The 25,516-nt window shown below is 40.9% G+C and overlaps 2 protein-coding genes across 17 annotated transcripts in view, besides 6 other annotated features; one reads left to right on the top strand and one right to left on the bottom strand.

Moving 5' to 3' along the window:
- Positions 1–2,165, bottom strand: part of ELP2 (elongator acetyltransferase complex subunit 2) — a 50,659-nt gene extending 48,494 nt beyond the window's left edge. For all 15 annotated transcript variants that reach the window (NR_137173.2, NR_040110.3, NR_136898.2 and 12 more), the window contains exon 1: positions 1,993–2,165. Coding sequence is in view for 10 of the 15 variants with exons in the window: in NM_001242875.3 (NP_001229804.1) it covers positions 1,993–2,130 (138 nt within the window). In the remaining 5 variants the exon portion in view is untranslated. The remainder of the gene's footprint in view (positions 1–1,992) is intronic.
- Positions 1,914–2,123: an enhancer, noted in NCBI's record as "active region_13235". NCBI's record gives its function as "activates an Ori minimal core promoter by ATAC-STARR-seq in GM12878 lymphoblastoid cells {active_cell/tissue: GM12878}" and the evidence as "EXISTENCE:reporter gene assay evidence [ECO:0000049][PMID:35858748]".
- Positions 1,914–2,473: a biological region, named in NCBI's record as "NANOG-H3K27ac-H3K4me1 hESC enhancer GRCh37_chr18:33709607-33710112".
- Positions 1,915–2,420: an enhancer, noted in NCBI's record as "NANOG-H3K27ac-H3K4me1 hESC enhancer chr18:33709607-33710112 (GRCh37/hg19 assembly coordinates)". NCBI's record gives its function as "activates a minimal SCP1, AML or CMV promoter by ChIP-STARR-seq in naive H9 embryonic stem cells {active_cell/tissue: H9 hESC(naive)}" and the evidence as "EXISTENCE:reporter gene assay evidence [ECO:0000049][PMID:30033119]".
- Positions 2,284–2,473: an enhancer, noted in NCBI's record as "active region_13234". NCBI's record gives its function as "activates an Ori minimal core promoter by ATAC-STARR-seq in GM12878 lymphoblastoid cells {active_cell/tissue: GM12878}" and the evidence as "EXISTENCE:reporter gene assay evidence [ECO:0000049][PMID:35858748]".
- Positions 2,421–2,926: an enhancer, noted in NCBI's record as "NANOG-H3K27ac-H3K4me1 hESC enhancer chr18:33709101-33709606 (GRCh37/hg19 assembly coordinates)". NCBI's record gives its function as "activates a minimal SCP1, AML or CMV promoter by ChIP-STARR-seq in primed H9 embryonic stem cells {active_cell/tissue: H9 hESC(primed)}" and the evidence as "EXISTENCE:reporter gene assay evidence [ECO:0000049][PMID:30033119]".
- Positions 2,504–2,798: an enhancer, noted in NCBI's record as "tiled region #13825; HepG2 Activating DNase unmatched - State 1:Tss, and K562 Activating DNase unmatched - State 1:Tss". NCBI's record gives its function as "activates a minimal TATA promoter and a strong SV40 promoter by Sharpr-MPRA in HepG2 and K562 cells {active_cell/tissue: HepG2 | K562}" and the evidence as "EXISTENCE:reporter gene assay evidence [ECO:0000049][PMID:27701403]".
- On the top strand, positions 2,724–23,533 carry SLC39A6 (solute carrier family 39 member 6). 2 transcript variants are annotated; one of them, NM_012319.4, is made up of 10 exons: positions 2,724–2,950; positions 5,048–5,845; positions 7,364–7,544; positions 8,400–8,569; positions 9,794–10,012; positions 15,285–15,390; positions 17,590–17,967; positions 19,483–19,563; positions 20,815–21,005; positions 22,319–23,533. In NM_012319.4, exons 2-10 carry the CDS (start codon positions 5,057–5,059, stop codon positions 22,469–22,471), a joined length of 2,268 nt encoding a protein of 755 aa, NP_036451.4. In that variant the 5' UTR covers positions 2,724–2,950; positions 5,048–5,056; the 3' UTR covers positions 22,472–23,533. The 2 variants fall into 2 exon arrangements, with proteins under 2 accessions (NP_036451.4, NP_001092876.1); NM_001099406.2 differs by lacking the exons at positions 5,048–5,845; positions 22,319–23,533 and having other exon boundaries at positions 20,815–21,070.
- The last annotated feature ends 1,983 nt before the right edge of the window (positions 23,534–25,516 follow it).

The following is a 25,516-nucleotide window of genomic DNA, read 5'->3' as shown; positions in this document are numbered from 1 at the left end:
GGGTGCACACCTGTAATCCCTGCTACTAGGGAGGCTGAGGCACGAGAATCACTTGATTTCGGGAGGTGGAGGTTGCAGGTTGCACTGAGCAGTTACTGTCACTACACTCCAAAAAAAAAAAAAAAAAAAAAAAGCCCGACCAGCAAATATTTAACAGGACAAAGTACTTTTTAGGCTCAACACTTCTTTGTCAATATGCTAAAATTCACTAGCTCAGCCACCAGGTTATCATTTAAAATCTGATGGAATACATGGAAACAAATCCATTCAACTGCTGCAAAAAGATGGGATTCTACAGCTGAATCAGAATTTCATTTCAGTGTGTTAAGTACATCAAAGCATGAGTATAATCATCTTAAAAGCAGATCTTGTCCTGTGATATAGCGGCAAGTTTGTCCTTGCAGACTTTACCAAGATGCTTCCTCTGCCGTAAACATCTCAGGACCGTGGGTTGACTGGCAAAGAGTGTGCCTTGCTAATTTTACGACGGAGTTGATTTTAAAAGGGTGTCACCCTGGCTCTCCCGGGCTCCTGCTTCCCTGACAACTCCACCCCTATGGCCGCCCCTCTTAGGGTCCTCCCAGTGCCCAGCCATGGCGGAACGGTGCCGCAATGCCGCAAGGCTCCGCGCTCACGGCGCTGGATGAGGAGACGCTGTGGGAGATGATGGAGAGCCTGCTGTGGTCTCTCCCATTCTACAGTCGGTCCTTGCCTCATGGTCCCTTTAAAGTTTACCCTTGTTTTTTGCACTTTCTCTTGCCATTCAAGAATGCAAATAACAAGAAACAAAAACCAGGAAGAGGCAAGCAAGCTCAAGATGGGGTAATGTGGTTACAAATATTTCATATATATATTTGAATCTCCAAAGGGTGTGAGAATAATGTTTTTTTGAGATAGGGTCTGGCTCTGTTGCCCAGGCTGGAGTCCAGTGGTGCGACCCCCGTCCACTGCAGCCTCAAACTTCTGAGCTCAAGCGATCCTCCCACCTCTACCTCCCGAGTAGCTGGGACTACAGGCGCACGCCACCACAACCAGCTATTTTTTTTTTTAAACTTTTTGTAGAGACTGGGGTCTCGCTCTGTTGCCTAAACTGGTCTCCAACTCCTGGACTCAAGCGATGCTCCCACCTCTGCCTCCCAAAGTGCCGGGATTACAGACATGAGACACGCTCCTGGCCAATAATGAAATTTTTAACCAAATTAATAAAGCCGTATGAACAGAAATACATATAGCCATCTCCTGCGTTGTATTTGAATTTTCAACATTTTACTTTTTACACTGAGCCTCCTTTTGAGATGCAAGACTAACTGTATAGACCAACTTAGCCATTGGGAATGGAGTTATAATGAATTCCGGGGAGCATGCAAAAACTATTCACTTGAGAAATATGGTGAGGAAAGCACCAAGAAAATAACCAACTGACTGGGTGAAGTCGAGGGAAGTCCCGCCTTATAATCAGTGCTTAGGATCCCCATCCCCTATGACCTTTCCCCCAAACTGACACTTTCTCTAAAATGTCCATTCCCGTAGCTAAAACACAGGTAACATTTCCTTGAAATTCAATACAACAAAAGTTCATTAACCAAAACTGAAGGAAATACTGAAATGAGATTGCACCTGTGGGATGATGGTTTTAATCTACATATAAATTTCAATTGTTTTAAAACCCAAATTGATTAACGGTACTACAGTTCCCAAGGAAGGCTTCAGGTAAGATGCTTATCATTCGGGTTTCTGCGTGGGACTAACAGGTTACTAGCAGCTCATGGGCAGCAATGACCCTAGGATGACGCCACGCGTGAGACGGCAAAGGGTGAGGGGTGAGGAGCGAGTCCGGCAGGTCCACTGGAGACTCCGAGCCCAAACCCCGCTCCCCTGAGCCGACCCGACTCGCCTCCTAGGTCTGGGGCGGCAACTAACAGCGCGCCCGGAGCACGTCCACAGGTTCAACCCGAAAAGCACAAGGGTCGGCCGTCCAGCGACCTCTCTTACCAGGGGGTCATAGAGCACCACGGAGCAGGACGTGCCAAAGGCCAGAAGTCCTCTGGGCCCAGAGCTCCAGTTCAGGACTCCCCGCACCCGGTTTGGGCAGCAAAACACGTGAGAAGTCTCCAGCACGGGTGCCACCATGTCGCCAACTGGTCAGCCGCACAAACAAGAGACGCGCACTTCCGCCCTCGGAGCGGAACTACTAGGGTGGTTTCTCCTGAGGCATCACCCAGTCCACGTTTCGCAGCCAGCCGAGGGCCAGACGGAGGCAGCCCCGCCCCCCTGAGACTCTCCGTTCCCACCGCAGGCTGGAACCCCTGTGCAAGGCCGCCGCTTTGCTAGCTCTGCTCTTGGACCGTGGCCCCGCTCCGCGAACGAGCCAGGCCTTTGTCTCAAGAGCGAAATCCGACCCGAGTGGCTCGGGACCCTCCCGAAGGACCCGGGGCTCATGTGCCTGGGGCAGCGTCAGAAACATCTCGCTGCCCCTTACGACCCGGCTCCCAGCAGCAGCCAGGGCTGGCCCCGGGGGCGCTGGCTAGCGAGTAGGGCCTCGAGGAAATGACCCCCAACTGCTTACAATGCGCTAGGGCCGCGCCACGCCCCCGCGGCGTCGGCGAACACACGGAAAAGCGGATCCGTCTGCGGAGCCGGGTTCCGGGGTCGCACTGCGCATGCCCTGCAGTCCTGGGCGAAGGGGGCGGTGGTTCCCCGCGGCGCTGCGCGCGGCGGTAATTAGTGATTGTCTTCCAGCTTCGCGAAGGCTAGGGGCGCGGCTGCCGGGTGGCTGCGCGGCGCTGCCCCCGGACCGAGGGGCAGCCAACCCAATGAAACCACCGCGTGTTCGCGCCTGGTAGAGATTTCTCGAAGACACCAGTGGGCCCGTTCCGAGCCCTCTGGACCGCCCGTGTGGAACCAAACCTGCGCGCGTGGCCGGGCCGTGGGACAACGAGGCCGCGGAGACGTGAGTCTTTCAGGTCCGGGAGCAGGGCGGCTGGGAGGGGAGCTCCTCAGGCCAGACAGGCGTGGCGGGGTAGGGGTGGTTCTGCGGAGAACCGGATCCTGCGGACCGGGCAGGGGGGCTACAGAAAGAGGATGCTGGGGGGAGCCCGCCGCAGGCGCCCACTCACCCTAGAGAGCCGGACTTCTTAAGGTGCTCAGATGGGCTTCGGGGTGCAACGGAGGATTTTTTGAGGAAAAGATCCGTACTTTTCATCCCATATTCGAAGAAGGGACTGACGTGTTTAGAAATAAAAAGCTTTTAGAAGAGAGCTTTGTGCCCTCTTTTCCGTTTTCTGTACTCGCCTTTTTCTCTAAGGCCCTTCCCTTCTGCTTTCCTTTTTCCTCCAGCACACACCAACTTGCAGGAAAGGAGATCCTTCAACGGGTCCACGACCGCGCTCAGCATCCTCCCTGGAGAAAGGCTCGGAGCTGTCCCCTGTGCTAGTCCCCTCCCACCCCGCTCCTCGCCTCTCTCCTGGGAATGATTTCTAAATGTTTATCTTTTACCTAGTAAAAGAATTCCCGAAACTTCAAGCCCCAAAGATTCCTCTTTCAGGAGCCTCGTTCTACGCCGTACCTCCATTTCCCACTGTTCCCTGTATGATACCTCGCACTTGTGCAACACATGAGTTTAACGAGTACTTGTAATATACATTCCTTCATGTGTTTTCCTCCTTCGCCTTGCAAAATAGGTTTTACCGGTATTTTAGATAAGGTAATGAATGCGAGAGCCCTGTCCAAAGAACAGCTGACCGTGGTAGAGCTGGATAGCCCCATGCTCTTGCTTAGTTGTAAACTTGACGTCTGCGTCTTTTGCTGGAGATGTGAGTTTGACCACCATCACCTCCACCGTTGGTGCTGGACATCCTGCTGGATCTGAATTAACTGAATTCTGGCTCTGCTTAACTGAATTCTGCTTTTCAAGCTCCAACTCAATTGCTTCCTCCTCTTTGGGGCACAGGCCTTTGGTTCCAAACACTACTGTGGATGATTAACAGCCTGTGATTAAATGTTGACTGGTTTGTAGTAACACAAGGATGCTACAGTGAGTTTTTCATGAAGTTCAGTTTACTTTAAGAATTCTATGTATGGACATAATGTGTCTGATTCATTGTCAAGTCGGAAAAAAGATTCAATGTGTATTTAAAGTATACACTTATTTGAGGCTGGGCGTAGTGGTCACGCCTGTAATCCCAGCACTTTGGGAATTGGAGGTGGAGGATCTCTTGAGGCCAGGAGTTCAAGACCAACCCGGACAACATAGTGAGACCTCGTCTCTAGAAAAAAAAAAAAAAAACTTTAAAAAAAAAATTAAGTATACATGTATTTGAGTATGCATAGAAAATATCCTGAGGGATACACTGGCAAAATTGAGCACCTTTGAGGATTGTGATTGGGGAAAGGGGTCTTAAATGGGCTTGTATGTAAGGAGAGTGTATTAGTTTAAAATTTTTTAAATATGTGAATTCTGAGATTATTATTTCTATTTTTTGGTGTTTGAAGGTTATTTTATGAAATGATGGTGATGATCAAGGTAGCTAGATTTCATTTCGTTCTTTTTTTTTTTTGAGACAGGGTTTCACAATGTTGCCCAGGCTGGTCACAAACTCCTGGCCTCAGGTGATCTGCCTGCCTCAGCCTCCCAAAGTGCTGGGATTATAGGCATGAGCCACCACACCCAGCCTAGATTTAATTATGAATCATTGGCCTCAATGATTCAAATAATCGTTCAAATAAATTCTCAACTTCAGTAAGCAGTTGATGGCTGTGGCCACATGGATCTCCCTTGTCTCTGAATTACTATTGCTTTTACAGTGCTAATGGCAGTCTCTTAGCACTCAGCTCTTCTCCAGTTGTTTCATGTGTTTTAGGAATGCAAGGGTAGAGCCTAGGACTCTAGTTCTTTCCATCTTCACAGTACCTAGCGTCACACTGGTCACACCACATGATGCTCTGGCAACTTTGATTATTTGATTACACATTAATTTTCAGTATGAGGTTTCTTAATTCAATTTGTTTTAGAAGTGAGTCAAGAATTTTTTTTTCCTGTCTTTTCTAGGAAGGCGCAATGGCGAGGAAGTTATCTGTAATCTTGATCCTGACCTTTGCCCTCTCTGTCACAAATCCCCTTCATGAACTAAAAGCAGCTGCTTTCCCCCAGACCACTGAGAAAATTAGTCCGAATTGGGAATCTGGCATTAATGTTGACTTGGCAATTTCCACACGGCAATATCATCTACAACAGCTTTTCTACCGCTATGGAGAAAATAATTCTTTGTCAGTTGAAGGGTTCAGAAAATTACTTCAAAATATAGGCATAGATAAGATTAAAAGAATCCATATACACCATGACCACGACCATCACTCAGACCACGAGCATCACTCAGACCATGAGCGTCACTCAGACCATGAGCATCACTCAGAGCACGAGCATCACTCTGACCATGATCATCACTCTCACCATAATCATGCTGCTTCTGGTAAAAATAAGCGAAAAGCTCTTTGCCCAGACCATGACTCAGATAGTTCAGGTAAAGATCCTAGAAACAGCCAGGGGAAAGGAGCTCACCGACCAGAACATGCCAGTGGTAGAAGGAATGTCAAGGACAGTGTTAGTGCTAGTGAAGTGACCTCAACTGTGTACAACACTGTCTCTGAAGGAACTCACTTTCTAGAGACAATAGAGACTCCAAGACCTGGAAAACTCTTCCCCAAAGATGTAAGCAGCTCCACTCCACCCAGTGTCACATCAAAGAGCCGGGTGAGCCGGCTGGCTGGTAGGAAAACAAATGAATCTGTGAGTGAGCCCCGAAAAGGCTTTATGTATTCCAGAAACACAAATGAAAATCCTCAGGAGGTAAGATGAGTGCTGTTCATTATTTTAATATACCTGTGTGTCTGTCCTGTCTCTGCTACTCTATCTCTAGTTATGAGGAGTTTAAAGTAAAAGTAAAATGTTGAAGTTATTGAAAAGGGAATTTCCACCTTCTCAGCAAGGCACTTGCCACAAAGCATGCCTGCTATGTTGTAAACATTCCCAATTCAGAACTTAGGGAACAGTTCTTTTGGTGAGCGTAGTGCTGCCTCCTACAATTTTTTCTAATACAGAATATAAAATATGTAGAGAAAGATATCAAGGCTATCTTTAGAGAAAGTCTATAAAGGTGAACATTATTAATAAAAAATAGAAAATGAGGGGTTGAAAGCAGGAGTTAGAATCCATATTGTAGGGAAAGGTGTGACTGAAGGGGCTGAAGACTACTGAGAATACCACTGCTGCCTCCTTGACAGAAGGTCCACCATGACTTGAGGAATGATTGAAATTGGAGCAGTTTCCATGAATGTCATGCTGGACAAGGGAAAAGTTGGGACAGTGAGGTTCTGAGTTCATGTGGTTTTTCTAGAGTAGACTTCCAGACTGTACGTAATTCACCTTGGCTGAGAGATGTCAAGAACAGGGAATTATGTCAAAAAAAAAAGGAACAAGGAATTAGTTGATACAGTTTAATAAGCAAAACTTTAGTACTTCATTCAAACCAGCATGTGACTGTACTAATTCTGGACTAATCCTAGTAGTGGCCATAGCCATAGCAGCCCTGGTGATAAAGTTTGCTCTGAGTTGTACCAACTGAGAATTGTGGTGGGAGTTGAAAATGTCTTTACAGAAGATGAGAAACTGGTACTAAAGCCAGTTTGGGGTTTTTTTGTTGTTTTTTTTTTTTTTTCTTTTTTGGCTGGGGGAGAGATTGCACAGAGGAGTATCTTCAAACTAAGTTTGTCATCTAATTAAATAGTTGAAAACATCTGCCTGCCGGTACAGGTTTGTTTTATTAACCAGCCTTGCCCTCCACAAGAATAATCTGCATAATTTAATATCCTCTCATTGCAGAGCATTACTTTGCCAGGTATGTAGACAGAACTGAGTTTTTGCAAGTAGAGTCATTACTAGAAGAGAGGCATGTCTTGGACTTGTTTAGGCCAAGTAGGATAGCGTTAGTACTGAAGCAACATATTTCTCAATCTCTGATGAGCCCCATTTTGAAATTAAAGCTCATTTCCTTAATACGTTTATACAGTGAGTTAACAGGCTTGTGAATCTCCATTTATCCTCATGCTTGTTCCACCTGAGGCTTTCTCCCTAGGTGACTCGTGATGTACTGCTTCTCTGATGAGGTAGAAGAGGTGGGATACCACTGTGGTGACATAGTATCGCCAGGTAGCTGGAGGCAAGTTCCAAAGTGCTCAAAACAGAAGTTGATTTTAATTTTCATTAACTCGAGAAAACGAAGTAGCATTAGTAAAAAAGGGTATTGTGTCATCAGACTACTCTAATGGGGATGGCTTTTGGTGATTTTCACTGCTTTGTTTCTTTCAGTGTTTCAATGCATCAAAGCTACTGACATCTCATGGCATGGGCATCCAGGTTCCGCTGAATGCAACAGAGTTCAACTATCTCTGTCCAGCCATCATCAACCAAATTGATGCTAGATCTTGTCTGATTCATACAAGTGAAAAGAAGGCTGAAATCCCTCCAAAGACCTATTCATTACAAATAGGTAAAATTGCCTTTTTTATGTAAAAACAATTTCAGTAGATTCATTTATATTGTGCTTTTCCTTAGATTTGCATCAGCCTATTTGTTTTCCAGTACAATTCTGAATATGTCATCTTAGTTGTTCTTTGCCTTGAATGTGAAGAAAGCAAGGAAGGGTGTTAGCCCTGCCCTTTAAAAAAAAATCCCAGAAAATAAAATTTCAATTATGACTTCTCTGGGTTCATCCTACAAGAAGGTGTCAGGATCACCTGAAATTTGGGATTTTTATATCATGTCACACTGCTTGGGAAGAGGTCTTGGGTTCATTTATGCTGCTTAGAAACCTAATACTGATGCATTCTTATTGATAAGTGAAGCTAGGATAGGCTCTGCTATAGCGTAGGGTCTCATTGCTCAAAAGTAATGAGGAAGGAATCACTGCTTTGTTTTCTGAGGACATTATTGAATTCCTGGTTTCTTCCTCTTCTTTTCTTTCTTTTCCTTTTTTCTTAAAAAAAAAAAATTCTTTTATCATTTAGCTCTTATGGGAGTCTGAAAGCTCAGTTCCTAAGTGAGCTACAGTTCATCCTTGGTAACCATTTTTTTTTCCTCTTTCACCCCGACCTGAAGAATTTCCCATTAGAGCTATGCTCCTTACCTGGAGAGTTCTTAAGTACCAGTCAGGTTGTTCATTTGAGCCAACAACAGATTTCTTGGTTATTGTGCTATTGCCACAGTAGGTCCTATTTGCATTGAATTTGTGTGTTTTTAGCTTCTCTCCTTTTACGTGTTGCTTTATGCTACTCTCCAAAAGTCTTTCTTGTAGAGTTTATTAGTTGTATAATTTTTCTTTGCTCTGTTTTGTTTTGTTTGACAGCCTGGGTTGGTGGTTTTATAGCCATTTCCATCATCAGTTTCCTGTCTCTGCTGGGGGTTATCTTAGTGCCTCTCATGAATCGGGTGTTTTTCAAATTTCTCCTGAGTTTCCTTGTGGCACTGGCCGTTGGGACTTTGAGTGGTGATGCTTTTTTACACCTTCTTCCACATGTAAGTATAGTAATTTGTCCTGTTAGTGTTTGATTATTCAACATTGAAAAAAAAATGTTTTGGTTTATGCTAGAATTTTTTGTATAAAATGTTAGAAATTTGGTTTAGAAAAGCTTATTTTAAAATATATTTGGTAAGTGAAAGCTGTATTTTTCTGCTCGATCTTAATACATTTGTGAATTTTGCTTTCCTTTTACAAAACACAGACTAATTTAACTTTTTGAAACCCACTTAATAAAAAGAGACAAATTCTGCCTGGCTATTAGTACTGTGATAGACTGCAGCAATGTGAGTTATCTGCTTTATCTGTTAGTGTAATTGCCAAGAAATAAAATATGTGACCCTTTATGTACCCAAGAAACTTGGAGGTTTTCTTCAGAGTTGAATGTTTATGTATGTATTTAAAGATTTACACTTCATGACACATAAAACAAGTTTGGTAAAGTGAATTTACTTTTCCATCAGATATTTGGAATAGATGCTCAGTTAAAAAATATGCGTGTTTCATTCTTTAAATTCCCATTAAAGGTTTTCAAGTATGTGGGAAAAGGAAATCACACCATACCTAGAGCACTACAAATCTCATGTTCCATTCAGTAGTTAAAGAAAACTATGTTGCTCTGACAAGCTCTCGGACCACCAGATGGCAGACATTCGGGAATACCTACTGATAGAAAGTGGCGTGTGTATGGGGTGTACTCTGTGATCCCCCAGTATCTTAGTGTGTTCCACACCCGATTCCCTAATGTGCAATAGCAGTAGTTACTACTCCACTCAGTTACAGGCTGCTAGGGCAGTGCACCTGGATCTCGGGTACATGCCAGGACCCAACACACACACACACTAGGCTTCTTACAATGCTAGTGTGATGACATTGGTATGGGCTTTTCAGTTGGGAAAATAAGCAGTAGAAACTGTGCACATTAAGTCTAGTATTCCTGTTATTTGTGGCCATGGTAATTCGTCAAGCATTGAAAATGCTCACTATTTATATATTATGGGGGTCACTGGGAATGTATCTGAAGTACATGACATGCATTAAGTTCTAGATAGCTAGCTGCTCATTGGTCATTTTATTTTTAATGTCCTAAACTTCACCTCATCTCTGAAGTATCTGAATAATTGCATAACTGAATGATTTCAATTTTGACCTTACCTAGCCAACTTTCTGACTCGGTGTGTGAAACTGATGAATTTATAAATAACAAATTATTTTGCCTTCAGTCTCATGCAAGTCACCACCATAGTCATAGCCATGAAGAACCAGCAATGGAAATGAAAAGAGGACCACTTTTCAGTCATCTGTCTTCTCAAAACATAGAAGAAAGTGCCTATTTTGATTCCACGTGGAAGGGTCTAACAGCTCTAGGAGGCCTGTATTTCATGTTTCTTGTTGAACATGTCCTCACATTGATCAAACAATTTAAAGATAAGAAGAAAAAGGTAAGAAAAAGTATACCGAGTACTTACTATGCTTCAGATATTTATTTATAGTAGTACTCTAACTAGATTGTTAGAATAGCATGCCCAGGTTGTATGAGCTTTATTTGAGAGGGAGTTCAGTACCCTTGAAGTACTTTTTGGTCCCAGAGATATTTATGAGGAGCATTTCTATATCTTAATAGCTCTGAAGTTTTCTGTCTTTGCTATTCTTTTGAAACTCATGACAGGATAAGAAAAGCAAGGATGAACATCTGTATAAGTGACCAGACAAGGTACCAGCAGGGCCTTGAAGACCAGAAGCATCGTGTATACATGGATACACTATCAATATTTATTAGTAGTTACGATTAACTAATGTCATTAATTTCCAGTCACCCAGTAGCTAAATGTTCTGTTTTCTTTTAAAGGGTATGTGACTTTTACAGACTTGCCCTTTGCAAATTGGATCAGAAATGGTATGAAGTCAAACAATAGGCTCTTTCTTTCTGGCCAAAAAAAACCCTTTTGAGTCGCCTATGGTAATTTGCCACTTTTTATTTGATGTGATCAGGCAAGTCATTCAGAAGACTGTCAGGAGACTCTTAAAAATGATGTGGGTCAGGTGGGGTGGTTCATGCCTGTAATCCCAGCACTTTGGGAGGCCAAGGCAGGCAGATCACTTAAGGCCAGGAGTTCGAGACCAGCCTGGCCAACATGGTGAAACCCCATCTGTACTACAAATACAAAAATTAATCAGGTGAGATGGCGCATGCCTGTAATCTCAGCTACTTGGGAGGCTGAGGCACAAGAATTGTTTGAACTTGGGAGGCGGATGCTGCAGTGAGCTGAGATTATACCACTGCACTCCAGCCTGGGCAATAGTGAGACTCTGTCTCAAAAAATAAAAAAAAAAAAAGAAAAGAAAAGTGATGTGTTCATATCTCAACATTTTAGTCTAACCTAATACATCTGTACACTCATATTCTGGTCACTTGATATTGACCAGGATTTTCTTCAAGTTGGAGTTCCGTATTCTGTATCGTTTCTTTTTTTCTTTATCAGCCATGCTGCTTCATCTATGATTTCCAATTTTGGTTTCTCTAAAATTGAACAAGAGATTACACACTTAAAGCTATTCTGAATGTAGAATCTAGGTTTTGGAAATTTAAAAAAAAAATTTATTCAGTGGTAGCCTTACGTAATTTGATATCTTTTTTTAGCACCTTGCCTTTGAATCTTCCAAGTATTCAGCTTTTGTGTTCACGGAATTAAGTATCCCCTACCAGGCACGGTGGCTCACGCCTATGATCCTAGCACTTTGGGAGGCTGAAGCAGCAGGATTGCTTGAGGCCAGGAGTTTGAGAGCAGCCTGGGCAACATAGCAAGACACTGTCTCTACCCCCCAAAAAAGAAGTAACTCCTTACCATCATTTCATAGTTTGAGCAATGTGTAATTAAATTGTGCAATTACAGTAATAAGTATAACTGGCGTGAAGAGGTTTCAAAACTAACACAGTTGATTTTTGCTGAGCATAGAGCTCACTGTGGGAAACAAATGCATGTGTAAACAGGAGAGTGTTTACATACTAGGAGTATTTGCTCTTAGGGATTTTACGTTCACTGAAATCTCAAATTAAAAATTTTGAGCCTTCTCTTTAGTGGACCTAAATATAGAGGGAAGAAGTAAAATAAGAATAGCTTATTTATTCTTAATCAAGGAAGTCATCTTCTGTGTTCCCATTGACGCAATTGCTTCCCTTGGACTGTTTCTTAATGTTATTGAATAGTTTCTAATCTCATTTAATTATCTCAAAAAGAAAAAAAAAAGCTACTCATTATATGGTGAGTACTGGGAGCTCTTCAGGCATTTTTTACTTAGAATTTTCCTTAAGAGAGCCATCTTGCACCTCTGGGAGATCCCATGTATCATAGTTTTAGGTTATCTGCCATATATGGACTAGTTTATTCCTACTTCTTTAAGTCTTCTGCAGTTTTTCTTACATTTAAAAAAAAGATCAGTTTTCATTCTGGGAGACTTGGGGATTGGGTTGTTTTCTTCTTTTTTTAACTGTACATCTGGGTCAAAATGTCATAATTTATTTAACATTCTCATTTCAATTTCATTTCCAAATTTTACCTAAATACAGCTTTTCTTTTTTTTTCTTTTTTTAAGAAAACAGTATCTTTTTTTAAGAGACAGCATCTTCCTCTGTTGCCCAGGTTAGAGTGCAGTGGCATGATCATAGCTCATTGCGCTTCAAATTCCTGGATTTAAGCAATCCTCCCACCTCAGCCTCCCAAGTAACTGAGACTACAGGCTCATGCCACCATGCCCAGCTAAGGATAGCTTTTCTTTAACTTAGCCCTCTTTAACCTAGGACTCCAAGAAATAGGCCCTCTGTTATCTGACACAGAATAATTTTTTCTTTTTTAACTCTAGGTTATAACTCTAGATTGTTAGTGAGTTGTAAAATCAATCTGTATGTCATAACCAATATTTTTAAATGCAACAATAATATTATATATTACTATTTTACATTACATATATTAATGTGGGTCATAGTCAGAGTAGTTTGATGCACTCTGCTTTAAAATAGTATCTACTAGAATGTAAGCTCTTAAAAGCCAGGATCTCTCTGTCTTGTTTACAGCTCTGTCTCCAATGTGTAGAATAGTGTCTGGTACATAATCGATGGTAGTAAATATTGAATGTTTAAGGAGCATGAAACAGCAAATAAGCATAATTTCTAGATGAAGACTTCCCATAGGAGTTTTGCAAATGTTACATGTTCTCTTCCCTTTTTGGAATATGCTGAGTTTATCTTTTGTTAAAGGCATCCAGATATTAAAGTTACTTACTTAATAATTTTTAATCTAATTCTCTCAAAAAGAAAACTACTACTCATTATATTGTGAGTATGGGGAGTTCTTCAAGCTCGTAACAGGGCATTTTACTTAGGATTTTTCTTAAGAGATCCATCCTGCATCCCTGGGAGATTCTGTATATCATATTTTTAGGTTATAGGCCTTCTGCTGCTTAAGGTTCACCTTCTGCTAGTGAAGGTTATTGTTCATGCCGAAAACTAGAGAATCATCTCTGATATCCCCCTCATCCCCACATCCAACCAAGTTTTAATAAATATGTCCATGGTCTCTCCATTCCTCTCCATCTTTCTTGCTGTCATTCTAGTCCAGGCCATGGTTACTTCCCACCTGAGTGACAGTTACTGCCTCCTAATAGGAGCCTGTCCACGTTATTTTGTTTTCCTCCTTTTCCCAATCTAGATTTCACAGAGCGGGCAGTGATTTGTTTAAATGAAAATATGATGAGGTTGCACACCACTACTTAAAATCCTTCCTCCAGTGGCTCCATTAGTTTTTGGACAAAGCCCACTATTCTCAACAGAGTTCTATTGTCTGATCTCCTTTAGTTGCCTCAGCCTCATCTCTGGCCACCCTCTCTGACCTAGTAGGCCCCGGCCACCTTGTACTTCTTTGAGTTCCAGAACAGTGCTGGCCCCTTCCTGGTGCTACTCCCTGCCTGGAATGCTGCCTCCCCAACCTTCCCCACCAAATTCCTACCTATCTTTAGGTCTTGGTATAAGTTATATTTTTTCAGTGGCCATCTGGAAATTATTGAGGTCATGTTATTATACATTCTTAATAGCACTCTGTTCTTTTCTATTGTAAAATGTGTCAAAAATTATAGTCAAAGAAGTATATAATCATTACCTGTGTAAAACCCTCTCCCTGTGGATAGTAAGCTCCATGAGAACAGAGACTGTGGGGCTTATTTTATGTTCTGCTCCCAGCATTTAGCATAGGGAACACTGTGGGCCCTTAATACTTATGGAATGAAAGAATTGGTTAAACTACTTTCTAGAACAATTGCCCAATGAGAAATAAAGCACCAGCATAAATGATTTAAGATACCCTGAGTTCATTTATTTTTACAAATATTTAAGTACTTTCTCTGATTGAGGCATTATATTCAGGATAAGTGTAAAGATTTGTGTGTGTGTTTGCCTTTTTTTTTTTTTTTGAGATGGAGTCTCACTCTGTCGCCCCGGCTGGAGTGCAGTGGCGCGATCTCTGCTCACTGCAAGCTCCGCCTCCCAGATTCACGCCATTCTCCTGCCTCAGCCTCCTGGGTAGCTGGGACTACAGGCACCCGCCAACACGCCCGGCTAATTTTTTGTATTTTTAGTAGAGACGGGGTTTCACCATGTTAGCCAGGATGGTCTCGATCTCCTGACCTTGTGATCCGCCCACCTCGGCCTCCCAAAGTGCTGGGATTACAGGCGTTCGCCACCATGCCCGGCCGTGTTTGCCTTTAAAAGCTCTTAAAATCTAAGAATGTATAGACACTTGATATGGTATTAGAGCTTGAATGAAATCTTAGGTATGGTGGTGATCATCATATTCAAAGGTACTGCAAATAAGAAATCTGTTATTTATGTGATAACTTTTATTTTAAATGTTCTGTATAAGTAGATGATACACAGACACCATTGTTCAAACAGTGACCTTTACACAACATAAAGGCTGCTTGGACTTAGGGACAATATCTCTGGTATGGTATTTGGGATGGTTAAAAAGCCCAGTGATGAATTCAGGGTTAATAGAGGCTTGTTTTAAAAGAGAAATCATGTTAATGGTGTTTTATTAAAGAAAAGTGTTTTAATAACTAAAAAACTATAGTTTTAGGTTATAAAAAGTATGGGAAGTTTGGGGTTTCAGTGTGCAGAAGAGGCATGGAAGAAGCCAGGCAGGTGGTTACCAGATCACTAGATGCCTGAAGGAAATGCCCCTAGCTGGATTTTTTTGTTGTTTTTTGAGACAGTGTCTCCCTTTGTCACCCAGGCTGGAGTGCAGTGGCACGATCTTGGCTCACTGCAACCTCCACCTCCCGAGTTCAAGCAATTCTTGTGCCTCAGCTTCCCAAGTAGCTGGGAATACAGGCGCATGCCACCACACCCGGCTAATTTTTGTATTTTTAGTAGAGATGGAGTTTCACCGTATTGGCCAGGCTGGTCTCGAACTCCTGACCTCATGATCTGCCTGCCTTGGCCTCCCAAAGTGCTGCGATTACAGGCGTGAGCCGCCGCGCCTGGCCGGGAGTATGCATTTCTGACAAGTTCCCAGGAGATAGTGTGCTGCTAGTGTGGGAACATACTTAAGAGTAGATGACTGTGGGGGCATTCTGTGTGTTTTGCTTACCTGGTTATTGATTGAAAGCTGTACATATAAACAAATTACTGTTTTAAAGTATTGTTTTCCCTCACTATTTTAGAATCAGAAGAAACCTGAAAATGATGATGATGTGGAGATTAAGAAGCAGTTGTCCAAGTATGAATCTCAACTTTCAACAAATGAGGAGAAAGTAGATACAGATGATCGTAAGTTCTTATGCATAAATTTTAGGGCTGGAGGGAGTTCATTGCTGTATGATTTGCAGGCAACTTGACTATCTGGAAGAAATGGGACCATGTCCCTTGGTTTTGGTTTTTGCAGTATCTCATACTTTGTAAAATATTGCCAGTGAGTACATTGTTTTTGTATATTTACATTTATTTTTTCTGTAACTTTTTATTTTGAAGTAAATTCATATTCATAGAAAAGTTTAAGAATCGTACAAAGAATTCCTGTATCCCATTCACTCATATTCCCCAGTTATTTTACCACACTGTCTTTCTCTAGCTCTGTCTACACACACACCTTTTTCTTTAATTTTTTAGTGACTAAAGGGCCAGCTACACACACTTTTTTTCTAAACCATTTGAGAGTAAGTTATAGACATGATGTTTCTTTACTCCTAAATACTTATGTTTCCTAGGAAAATGGACATTCTCTCATATAACCAGAGTTTAATTATTAAATCAGGAAATTTATACTGATACAGTGCCATTCTCTGTAGACGTTATTCTTCCAAATGCCTTAATAGTGCTTTTTATGCCAACACTCCCCCAACCCCCACCAAAATATTGTTCCAGAGTACAATTCAGGATCAAATATTGCATTTAGTTGCCTCTACTTTTGGGTTTGTTTAGTATTTTTGCATGATTAGGTTGATCAGTTTTGGCAGGAATACCGCAAAATGGTACTTGTCCTTTTCTGTCACATGGTGTGCCACCTGATATGATTCTTTGTCACTTATTGGTGGTGGTAATTTTGATCACTTGCCTAAGGTTGTATCTACCATGTTTCTCCTGTTTTTCCTGAAACTTGGCTGTTTGCTTGGCATATCTTGTCGGACAGACTGAGTTAAGATTCATGTTTTCAACCCAGCTCCTTGCCATGATCTTCAAGGTCCCGCTGAGCCCACCACTCTCCCGCATTGTTCACTGTGCTCCAGCCCCACTGGCCCTCTTTTCACGCTGGGAGCACATAAGGCTTGTCTCCGGGCCATGCACTCACTATTCCTTGTACTTGGAATACCGTTCTCTGAGACCATTACATGCATTCCTCCTCTTGTTGTGCAGGTCTCAAATCAGGTATCTCCTTTAGAGGCCTTCCCTCAGCACCCAACGACAGCAGGCATGAGCCACTGTGCCTAGACCACACTGTTTTGATATATGGTTGTTGTTGTTGTTGTTGTTGTTGTTGTTGTTTTAATTTTTTTTTTTTTTTTGAGACGGAGTCTCACTCTGTCACCCAGGCTGGAGTGCAGTGGTGCGATCCCAGCTCACTGCAAGCTCCGCCTCCCGGGTTCACGCCATTCTCCTGCCTCAGCCTCCCGAGTAACTGGGACTACAGGCACCCGCCACCATGCCTGGCTATTTTTTTTGTATTTTTAGTAGAGACGGGGTTTCACCATGTTAGCCAGGATGGTCTCGATCCCCTGACGTTGTGATCCGCCCACCTCTGCCTCCCAAAGTGCTGGGATTACAGGCGTGAGCCACCACGCCCGGCCCCCTCTTCAGTTTTTTAAATGGACTCCAGTGAAATGTGTAATGATGGGGAGGAAATACCTGCCCTAGAAATGGACTGCAGTGTCAGGGATGGTTCCAAGAAAATTGATAACTATGTACAGGAGAAAAAAAATAACCTTATTGTGGCAATTTATTTTCCTTTGCACAGATAGATAATAAATGCTTCTTGGTGATGATGAAATAATTCGGATTCTCTGTTTTTTCCTTGAATTTTGCCTTCCAAAAAAGAGGAAGTCAGATGGCAGGATTATGCATGTTTTTTTATTTCTAATTTTCATTACTTCTCTAAGATATTTTTCTAAAATAAATATTTTAAATAACATAACATGTTTTCTAAAACAAGCAGGTTCTTCTCTTAGGATGAGGAAAAAAGTCATTTTTAAAAAGGTAGGGAGGCAGAAGAAATTGAGGGAGCATCTGAGAGGTAGTTATTGAAGGTTAACATTTAAAATCCATTCTTAATATTTGAGACCATTCCATTTCTGGAATTCATTAAAATCTTTTGATGTTTTTCATCAGTAATACTTTAATATTTAGTTCTGCAGATATGAAGGAGTTATCATGCTTTAAGATCTTCTGTTGACTTTTTCAATGAGGTTTGAAATGTCTCCAAGTCCATTAACAAAGCCTTCTAACTGTCCCCATGCCCTTTATGTTTATTCCTAGGAACTGAAGGCTATTTACGAGCAGACTCACAAGAGCCCTCCCACTTTGATTCTCAGCAGCCTGCAGTCTTGGAAGAAGAAGAGGTCATGATAGCTCATGCTCATCCACAGGAAGTCTACAATGAATATGTACCCAGAGGGTGCAAGAATAAATGCCATTCACATTTCCACGATACACTCGGCCAGTCAGACGATCTCATTCACCACCATCATGACTACCATCATATTCTCCATCATCACCACCACCAAAACCACCATCCTCACAGTCACAGCCAGCGCTACTCTCGGGAGGAGCTGAAAGATGCCGGCGTCGCCACTCTGGCCTGGATGGTGATAATGGGTGATGGCCTGCACAATTTCAGCGATGGCCTAGCAATTGGTATATATCTACATATTTGTTCCTTGTTGATTGATTCTGAAAATGTCACATTAAACACCTAGTCAAATTTTAACAAAGAATAGATTAGTTTAGATGAGGATATTAGTGACTTCCAAGATTATAAAAATGTTACTTTTTCTTTTACTACTTTGACAATGAAGTGCTCAATAAATGTTAGGTATGATTAAATGCTAGGAATTGTACCTAGCCCATTACCTAAATTGTAACTGTCAAAAGCTGTTCTTAAATTGCAAGGTCTTAAGATCAGTCTTTAATTTGTATGGTGCATGTATGAGATTTTTTTTTCTCCCTATACATTGAAGTTCCCTTATCGATAATATAATATTTATAAAAGTAAAATTATATTTTCCATCATCTTTTATGCTAAAGGAATCTTCATACATCTAAGTCCAGTTACCAGTCTCTATCCTATGAAGAATTATAGAACTTTTGCTAATAAATTGTTATACCACAATTGGGAGATAACAGAATACTTACAAATTTTAATAATTTAGTGCTGGAAGGAACCATGCAATTAGGCAGCTGAGGCCTGTCAAGGTGACGCCACTTGTCCAAGGAGGCTGTGCTGTGTTATAGCTAGGCCTGGCCTTGGCTCCCTGGGAGTCGAGTGCTCTTCCTCTTGTACTATATTATGCAGAGCTGAAACAGACAAAGGAGGAATGTCCGATTGCACAGTCGGCTGGGTGCGGTAGCTCATGTCTGTATTCCCAGCACTTTGGGTGGCCAAGGCAGGAGGATCGCTTAAGCCCAGGAGTTCAAGACCAGCCTAGACAGCATAGTGAGACCTTATCTCTACAAATAAAAAAAAAAAAAATTAGCCAGGTATGGTGGTACACACCTGTAGTCCCAGCTGCCTGGTAGGCTGAGGTAGATGGAACGCTTGAGCCCGGGAGTTTGAGGTTCTAGTGAGCTATGATCTCACCACTATACTCCAACCTGGCCAACAGAATGAAACCCTGTCTCTGAAAAAAAAAAATATATATGCACAGTCATGGTTTATAATTGATTGATTGTATAATATGTCAGATTTTTAAAAGGGGACGGCTATTTGTCTTAGAGTTTTCTCACTGAAACAGTGAAAGAATAAATGTAAACATCTAGTTACATAGTAAATTCCTCTGAGGCAAGTGAAACATGTTTATACCCTTGACAGGAGAGTTTTTTCCTAAACCTTTTAAACAGTTTATTTTATATTCTTGAATATGCCTTTTATATGGTAGCAGTTACTCCTCAGATTTGTATAACTTTATCCGCTCATTCTAAGGCCTAGAAAACCTTCCCTTCTCTTTCATGCCCGATGTGCTCCTTTGGGAAATTTAGACCTCATGGAATGTACTCTAAGATTTCTTACAAAGAAGATACAGAGTTGGTTTGGGAAACTTCTATTCATTCACAGCCAAAATACCATTTTCTTGTTACCTCATTTTGCATACTGATAAGATTAAAAAACACAAATTAATGTAGCCAAACTTTTTCTGATTGATTTTTACACAGGTGCTGCTTTTACTGAAGGCTTATCAAGTGGTTTAAGTACTTCTGTTGCTGTGTTCTGTCATGAGTTGCCTCATGAATTAGGTAAGAGAACCACATAAATTGTATTTGCCAAGTGGGTGAAATGTTCTAGTGTCACTGGCTTTTGCTAATGGTAGTTCAGCAAGCTTCTTCATCAATTTCATGCCTTCTCATAAGTCTGCTAACCAGCATACTGATGACATCAGGGATCATCTTCATACACACAAGGTGAATAAGACTACAGGATACAAAGGAATCATCTTCCATTAACAAAAGTTGAGAAAGAGAATCTCATTGGAATTGAAGGGAAGTGGATGAGTTGTGTTTTCAATATTGTTCTTCTTTGTCACTAGGCATTAAAACCTTCCCAAGTTCTGGATCCCAGTTCACGTCCTTGTTTTTCTTGTTTTGGAGATATATTCACACACATACCGCTGATGCCATTTTCACTTTTGTTCCTTGTTATATGTTCAGCCATTCCTTATCATCTTCAGCATCTATGTTCCACATTCAAGTCCCATGAAGCCCCTCTCTTATTTCCATCTTCATGTGTCTCTTTTCTCCTTTTATAATTGTAGCATTGAACTCTTCAGCTGTTTTTTATGCATTACCATTATCATTTGCTGATCATCTCATGTGTGTTCTCCACCCATTCCTCCCTTCTTTGTGGCCAAATTCCAAGCTCCTTGAAAACACTGCAAGACCACAATATTAAATTTTTAGTGTTTATCATTTTGACAAAGTGTAAGCCTTAAAAAATTTTTTTGGTTAAGGTATCTGGCCAGGTGCAGTGGCTCACGCCTTTAATCCCAGCACTTCGGGAGGCCGGGGCAAGGGGATCACCTGAGGTCAGAAGTTCAAAACCACCCTGGTCAACATGGTGAAACCCCGTCTCTACTAAAAGTAAAAAAATTATCCAGGTGTGGTGGCATGCACTTGTAGTCCTAGCTACCCAGGAGGCTGAGGCACAGGAATGGCTTGAACCCAGGAAGCAGAGGTTGCAATGAGCCAAGATCGGTGCCACTGCACTCCAGCCTGGGTGACAGAGCAAGATACTGTCTCAAAAAAAAGAAAAAAAAAAAAAGTTTGTACATCAAGTTGAATGATGAAGAATAAAAAGGAAAAACAATAGTTTCTACAGCTGTTAGGGTGATTTACTAACACTGCTTTAACCCTAGGTCATTCTTAATTTTGTTTTCTTTTCCCCCTCTCAAAAACACTGGAAAATTTTCTTAAATCTGGGAAGTATCTTGGTATGTGTCTTAAAAATGATTTCTCAATGACTTTTTCCTCCTTTTTTGTTTTCTGTTAAAGGTGACTTTGCTGTTCTACTAAAGGCTGGCATGACCGTTAAGCAGGCTGTCCTTTATAATGCATTGTCAGCCATGCTGGCGTATCTTGGAATGGCAACAGGAATTTTCATTGGTCATTATGCTGAAAATGTTTCTATGTGGATATTTGCACTTACTGCTGGCTTATTCATGTATGTTGCTCTGGTTGATATGGTAAGTTTTTAAGAAGTCTTATTACATTATTGACCAACAATAAAATAGAGAAAATATTCGGTAAAGCCTCATTTTTTTTCTCTCTTTTTGGGGGAGCAGGAAGTGGAATCTTGCTATGTCGTCCAGGCTGGTCTCAAATTCCTGAGCCCAAATGATCCTTCCATCTCAGCCTCCTGAGTAGCTAGGACTATAGGCTCAATAAAATATCTTTTTTTTTGGCTGGGCACGGTGGCTCATGCCTGTTAGTCCAACATTTTGGGAGACCAAACCAGGCAGATCACGTGAGGTCAGGAGTTCGAGACCAGGCTGGCCAACATGGTGAAACCCTGTCTCAACTAAAAACTACAAAAAAATTAACCAGGGTTGGTGGCATGCGCCTGTAGTCCCAGCTACTTGGGAGGCTGAGGCAGGAGAATCACTTGAACCCAGGAGATGGAGGTTGCAGTGAGCTGAGATTGTACTACTGCACTCCAGCCTGGACAACAGAGCAAGACTCTGTCTCAAAAAAAAAATCATTTTTTTAAAAAAGATTTTAAATGCAGTCATTATGAGAAGTGATTCTATATTCAGAAATTTGTGGCATATAAGAATATAGGTTCTTTAGAGTTTTTTTTTTTTTTTTGGATTGTTGATCACACCTTTATCTTGCTTAATATGTGTCCAGATTCACAAAAATATCTACATCCTTCTGATGTATCATTTTAGGGTATGATCTCAGTAATCAGGCAGTGAATTTTCTATAGATTTGTAGGAAGTCTAGGACAAGATGCATATTGTTGGCATGCTGTATACTTCAGAATGCTTAGTTTATTAATCAACAAAGGAGTCATATCTTTTTGTCACTAATGTCCTCAAAACAATCCCAACCAATCTTACCGCTAAAATTGTATTTTATTATTTTATTTTTATTTTTTACTTTGTAAGCAATCAAAGACAATATGTATCTTATATAGTATAAGGTTTTCTATCTCTGAACTAAAGACAAACTACATGTTATATCCAGTTCAGATATGCAGCCAGTAACTGAAGTAGGAAAATCAATATCGCTTTTCATTTTCCAGTGGAAACTGGAACCAATACAAACTTTTTCTTGCCCAGAACATCATGAGTAATCATTGTTAAACTGCTAGGAAATGCTGTGTGACATTGTTAGCTAGAGTCAGTATGTATGTAATCATGTTTTAAGGAATTAACTCACAGTATATCTAGCTACAAATAAAGCTAGTATACTGTCCTATAAATTTTTCTAAAAACTAATCTGTAGTTCTAAAAACTTAAATGTCACTCTTATTTTCCCTTACTTTTTTTTAAAGGTACCTGAAATGCTGCACAATGATGCTAGTGACCATGGATGTAGCCGCTGGGGGTATTTCTTTTTACAGAATGCTGGGATGCTTTTGGGTTTTGGAATTATGTTACTTATTTCCATATTTGAACATAAAATCGTGTTTCGTATAAATTTCTAGTTAAGGTTTAAATGCTAGAGTAGCTTAAAAAGTTGTCATAGTTTCAGTAGGTCATAGGGAGATGAGTTTGTATGCTGTACTATGCAGCGTTTAAAGTTAGTGGGTTTTGTGATTTTTGTATTGAATATTGCTGTCTGTTACAAAGTCAGTTAAAGGTACGTTTTAATATTTAAGTTATTCTATCTTGGAGATAAAATCTGTATGTGCAATTCACCGGTATTACCAGTTTATTATGTAAACAAGAGATTTGGCATGACATGTTCTGTATGTTTCAGGGAAAAATGTCTTTAATGCTTTTTCAAGAACTAACACAGTTATTCCTATACTGGATTTTAGGTCTCTGAAGAACTGCTGGTGTTTAGGAATAAGAATGTGCATGAAGCCTAAAATACCAAGAAAGCTTATACTGAATTTAAGCAAAGAAATAAAGGAGAAAAGAGAAGAATCTGAGAATTGGGGAGGCATAGATTCTTATAAAAATCACAAAATTTGTTGTAAATTAGAGGGGAGAAATTTAGAATTAAGTATAAAAAGGCAGAATTAGTATAGAGTACATTCATTAAACATTTTTGTCAGGATTATTTCCCGTAAAAACGTAGTGAGCACTTTTCATATACTAATTTAGTTGTACATTTAACTTTGTATAATACAGAAATCTAAATATATTTAATGAATTCAAGCAATATATCACTTGACCAAGAAATTGGAATTTCAAAATGTTCGTGCGGGTATATACCAGATGAGTACAGTGAGTAGTTTTATGTATCACCAGACTGGGTTATTGCCAAGTTATATATCACCAAAAGCTGTATGACTGGATGTTCTGGTTACCTGGTTTACAAAATTATCAGAGTAGTAAAACTTTGATATATATGAGGATATTAAAACTACACTAAGTATCATTTGATTCGATTCAGAAAGTACTTTGATATCTCTCAGTGCTTCAGTGCTATCATTGTGAGCAATTGTCTTTTATATACGGTACTGTAGCCATACTAGGCCTGTCTGTGGCATTCTCTAGATGTTTCTTTTTTACACAATAAATTCCTTATATCAGCTTGACGTCAGATGTCTGGTTTTCTTTTTAAAAAAAAATTTTTTTTACCATTGGAACCATTTTTAACTGTAGAGTTCAGTAGTTTTAAGTATATTCATGTTGTGCAATGAATCTCCAGAACTTCTTCATCCTGCAACACTGAAACTCTATACCCACTCAACGCCAACTCCCCATTTTCCCTTAGCCCCTGGTAACCACCATTCTACTTTCTGTTCCTAAAAAATTGAGCTATCTGAATTTTTAAATTATCATCTGGATTGTAGTATACTAATCAATTCATTTATAATATTGTATTGGGTGGCCTTATTCAATTTTTAAATTGTTTATCACAAAGGACACTTCAAAAAATATTGGTCCACAGTTTGTTTTCGGGTGTCTCTCTTTTTTTTTTTTTTTTTAACAACTGGACCTAAAGCTGTAGAAGAAGCATTATTAATATTCTACACTCTCAAGAGAGTCAGTGTTTTAATTCAAGATTTTTACGATGGAGAGCTTGTGATGAGACTCAATGCTTGAGAGAGACTCCAGGTATTATTATTTATAGGTCCTGGGAAGTACATGGCACATCTGGAGGCCACACACATGGAGGTCAGAGAATGCAGGCAGGGAAAGAGAGGGACATATGGGCCAGTGCCTTTATTGGGTCCAGGGCATTATTCAAACAAGTTTCCCTTGAGGAGTTTCAATTAGGTTGAAAGCAAGCAGGCATAAGTTCCAGGAGACCACTCTGTGACTGAGAGGTGGTCACTGTGACATATCCACACAGCCCATGTGAGGGTCAATGAGGCCAGACAGGCAAGCTGCATCTAGCTGTGCCATAGCAAAGTGGTTGACAGTGAGCAGCTGTATAAGGCAGCCATCTGGATGGACCACATTGAGGAACTGGGAGACATAGAACTGGAAACTGTGTCAAGGGTGACTGAGCTCTGCTTCTGTATGGGAAAGTCCAACTTATATTCCCAATGAGTGCCAAGGCCACATAAAATTATAAGCATTCACTACAATCAGTAACAAGTGGACAATACCATCCCCCCTTCATCTAGGGCTTACTGAGAGACCACGTCACCAACATTTCTGTTTCTCAGACCAAGCGAAGGGGATGGGTATCAGAATTACCTGGTTGGGGGTGCCTGCACAGATGAAATTAAGCATCCCCTTTGGTTGAATAGATTACTCTGCTTCAGAAACTCACAGACCTACCATAGTGCCACTGCTAGATCAGTGCAAGGTGAGGAAGTTCTTTTAATAACTGGAAATGCACCTCTAGGAGTGTGGTGAGCACAGAGACTTGTCCCTTCTTTCACAGAAATTCTGAAGGTAGAAGGTGTGCTGGACCAGCCCACAAAAACAGGATGAAATAGGAACTATGGTTCCCACTCCAGCTGGAACCTGTTAACGGGTATATGGAAGATTCAGATAGTCCCCATCACTCTGTGTCAGAGGATGGAGATGAGAGGAAAATGCAAAAGCTGTAGAATGTGGACCAAAGGCTGATTTTTGGGAGGGAACATAACTTGTCAGACTGGCAAAAAAAGTCACAAATAGAAATATCTTCAATGAAAAAGGAGATATAAATAGAGTAGATTCAAGCAATTATAAAAAATCAGCCTATACATTTGAGAACTTTTTGATACAGATTAGCTTTCTGGGAAAATACAAAATGTTCACTCAAGAAAAAAAAAATTATTACATCAAAATTCTCCCCTTCTCCACCCCAAACATAGGCCCAGTTTACAGTGTTTGACCAAAACTTCAAGACATAAATCCCTCATTTATCCAAATAGTTTCTGGGATTTAAAAGAGAAAGCTCATGTTAATTGAGGTTAGTGTAACCTTGATATGAAAACCACGTTAGGAAAGGCAATTTGCCTTGGACCCTGAGAGTACCTGCACTTTCCAGATATGTCGAGAATGTAAGGCCCTGACCACTCTTTGCCTTGGCCAGTTATCAGTGAGCAACCTTGAAGAATGAGGTTCTGGCTGGGCAC

Source organism: Homo sapiens, chromosome 18 (genome assembly GCF_000001405.40).
Source record: "Homo sapiens chromosome 18, GRCh38.p14 Primary Assembly".
NCBI lineage: Eukaryota > Metazoa > Chordata > Mammalia > Primates > Hominidae > Homo > Homo sapiens.
This window is presented reverse-complemented; position numbering and strand designations above follow the sequence as displayed.